The sequence below is a fragment of the Homo sapiens genome, chromosome 4 (genome assembly GCF_000001405.40).
Source record: "Homo sapiens chromosome 4, GRCh38.p14 Primary Assembly".
NCBI lineage: Eukaryota > Metazoa > Chordata > Mammalia > Primates > Hominidae > Homo > Homo sapiens.
The window spans coordinates 55279187-55282012 of NC_000004.12; the positions used below are offsets into that span (position 1 = coordinate 55279187).

General features: G+C 41.0%; 2 annotated features.

Annotated features, from left to right (window-relative positions):
• Positions 704-1651: an enhancer, noted in NCBI's record as "OCT4-NANOG-H3K27ac-H3K4me1 hESC enhancer chr4:56146057-56147004 (GRCh37/hg19 assembly coordinates)". NCBI's record gives its function as "activates a minimal SCP1, AML or CMV promoter by ChIP-STARR-seq in naive and primed H9 embryonic stem cells {active_cell/tissue: H9 hESC(naive and primed)}" and the evidence as "EXISTENCE:reporter gene assay evidence [ECO:0000049][PMID:30033119]".
• Positions 1652-2599: an enhancer, noted in NCBI's record as "OCT4-NANOG-H3K27ac-H3K4me1 hESC enhancer chr4:56147005-56147952 (GRCh37/hg19 assembly coordinates)". NCBI's record gives its function as "activates a minimal SCP1, AML or CMV promoter by ChIP-STARR-seq in naive H9 embryonic stem cells {active_cell/tissue: H9 hESC(naive)}" and the evidence as "EXISTENCE:reporter gene assay evidence [ECO:0000049][PMID:30033119]".

A 2826-nucleotide genomic window follows, 5' to 3' on the forward strand; every position in this document is an offset into this window, starting at 1 on the left:
TGTATTCATTGAGGCACTGCCCTCATGAATGGATTAATCCATTTGTGGATTAATGGATTATCATGGGAGTGGGACTGGTGGGTTTATAAGAAGAAGAAGAGAGACCTGAGCTAGCCCACTCAGCTCCTCACCATGTGATACCCTGAGCCACCTCAACACTCAAGACTCCCCACTAGCAAGAAGATCCTCACTAGATGCAGCCCCTCAGCCTTGGACTTCTCAGCCTCCATAACTATAAGAAATAGATTACTTTTCTTTATAAATTACTCAGTTGCAGGTATTCTGATATAAGCAATAGAAAACAAACTAGGACAGATTATGTTATCTGCAAACAAAAACAATTTCACTTCTTCCTTTCCAATTTGGATGACTTTTCTTTATTTTCTTGCCTAATTGCTCTGACTAGGATTTTCAGCACTATGTTAAATAGAAGTGATGTGAGTGGGCACCCTTGTCTTGTTCCTGATCTTAGGGGAAAAGCTTTCAGCTTTTCACAGTTGAGTATGACGTTAGCTGCAGGTTTGTCTTATATGGCCTTTATTATGTTGAGGTAAATTCCTTCTATGCCTAATTTGTTAAGAGTTTTCATCATGAAAGTATGTTGAATCTTGTCGAATAGTTTTTCTAGAGAAATGATTTTGTGATTTTTTTTCATTATTCCATTGATGTGGTGTATTGCATTTATTGATTTGAGTATGTTGAATCGTCCTTGCATCCCAGGGATAAATGCCACTTGATCATGATGTATGATCCTCTTAATGTGCTGTTGAATTCAGCTTGCTAGTGTTTCGTTGAGGACTTCTGCATCTAAGTTCATCAGGGACATTGACCTGAAATTTTTTCTTGTGTTTCCTTGTCTGGTTTCGGTATCAGGATAATTCTGGCCTTGTAAAATCAGTTTGGAAGTGTTCTCTCCTTTTCAGTTTTTTGGAAAGGTTTGGGAAGGATTGGTATTAATTCCCTTTTTAAATGTTTGGTAGAATTTACCAGGGTAATCATCTAATCTTGGGCTTTTCTTTGTTGGGAGGTTTTTGACTACTGATTCAATCTCTTTACTCATTATTGGTCTGTTCAGATTTTCCATTTCTTCATAATTCAGTCTTAGTAGATCATATGTGTTGTGGGAAGTCAGGGACCCCAAACGGAGGGACCAGCTGAAGCTTTCATGCGAGTCCGTGTGAAGAGACCACCAAACAGGCTTTGTGTGAGCAGTAAAGCTTCTAATCACCTGGGTGCAGGCGGGCTGAGTCCTAAAAGAGAGTCAGTGAAGGGAGATAAGGGTGGGGCCGTTTTATAGGATTTGGGTAGGTAAAGGAAAATTACAGTCAAAGGGGGTTTGTTCTCTGGCGGGCAGGAGTGGGGGTCACAAGGTGCTCAGTGGGGATGCTTTTTGAGCCAGGATGAGCCAGGAAAAGGACTTTCACAAGGTAATGTCATCGGTTCAGGCAAGGACCGGCCATTTACACTTCTTTTGTGGTGGAATGTCATCAGTTAAGGTGGGGCAGGGCATATTCACTTCTTTTGTGATTCGTCAGTTACTTCAGGCCATCTGGGCATATATGTGCAAGTCACAGGGGATGCGATGGCTTGGCTTGGGCTCAGAGGCCTGACAGAAGCCATAACAGAAGAACGTGGACTGTGAAGATTTTATGGACATGTATTAGTTCCCCAAATTTATACTTTTGTAATTTCTTATGCCTGTCTTTACTGCAATCTCTAAACATAAATTGTAAAGATTTCATGGACACTTATCACTTCCCCAATCAATACCCTTGTGATTTCCTGTGCCTGTCAGCCGAGGAGGATGTATGTCACCTCAGGACTATGTGATAATTGCATTAACTGCACACAAATTGTACAGCATGTGTGTTTGTGCAATATGAAATCTGAGCACCTTGAAAAAAGAACAGGATAACAGCAATTGTTCGGGGAATAAGAAAGATAACCTTAAACTCTGACCGCCAGTGAGCCGGGCAGAACAGAGCCATATTTCTCTTCTTTCAAAAGCAAATGGGAGAAATATCGCTGAATTCTTCTTCTCAGCATGGAACAACCCTGAGAAAGAGAATGCGCACCTAGGGGTAGGTCTCTGAACTGGCCCCCCAGGGGCATACCTGTCTCTTATGGTCGAGATTGCAGAGATGAGATAGACTCCAGTCTCCCATAGCGCTCCCAGGCTTATTAGGAAGAGGAAATTCCCTCCTAATAAATTTTGGTCAGACCGGTTGATCTCAAATCCTTGTCTCCTGATAAGATGATATCAATGACAATGGTGCCCGAAACTTCATTAGCAATTTTAATTTTGCTTCAGTCCTGTGGTGTGATCTCGCCCTGCCTCCACTTGCCTTGTGATATTCTATTACCCTGTTAAGTACTTGATGTCTGTCACCCACACCTATTTGCCCACTCCCTCCCCTTTTGAAAATCCCAAATAAAAACTTGCTGGTTTTTGTGGCTTGTGGGGCATCACGGATCCTACCAACGTGTGATGTCTTCCCCGGACGCCCAGCTTTAAAATTTCTCTCTTTTGTACTCTGTCCCTTTATTTCTCAAGCCAGCCAATGCTTAGGGAAACTAGAAAAGAACCTACATGATTTTCAGGGCAGGTTCCCGGATACGTTGTTTCTAGGATTTTTATTTTACTTATTTCTTCTAGGTTATCCTATTAATTGGGATGTAATTGTTTATAGTAGTCTCTTATGCTCTTTTCTATTTCTGTGTTATCCATTATAATGTCTCCTGTTTCATTCATTGTTTTATTTATTTGAATCTTCTCTTGCTTTTATTTGGTTGGCCTAAATAAAGATTTGTCAATTTTGTTTATCT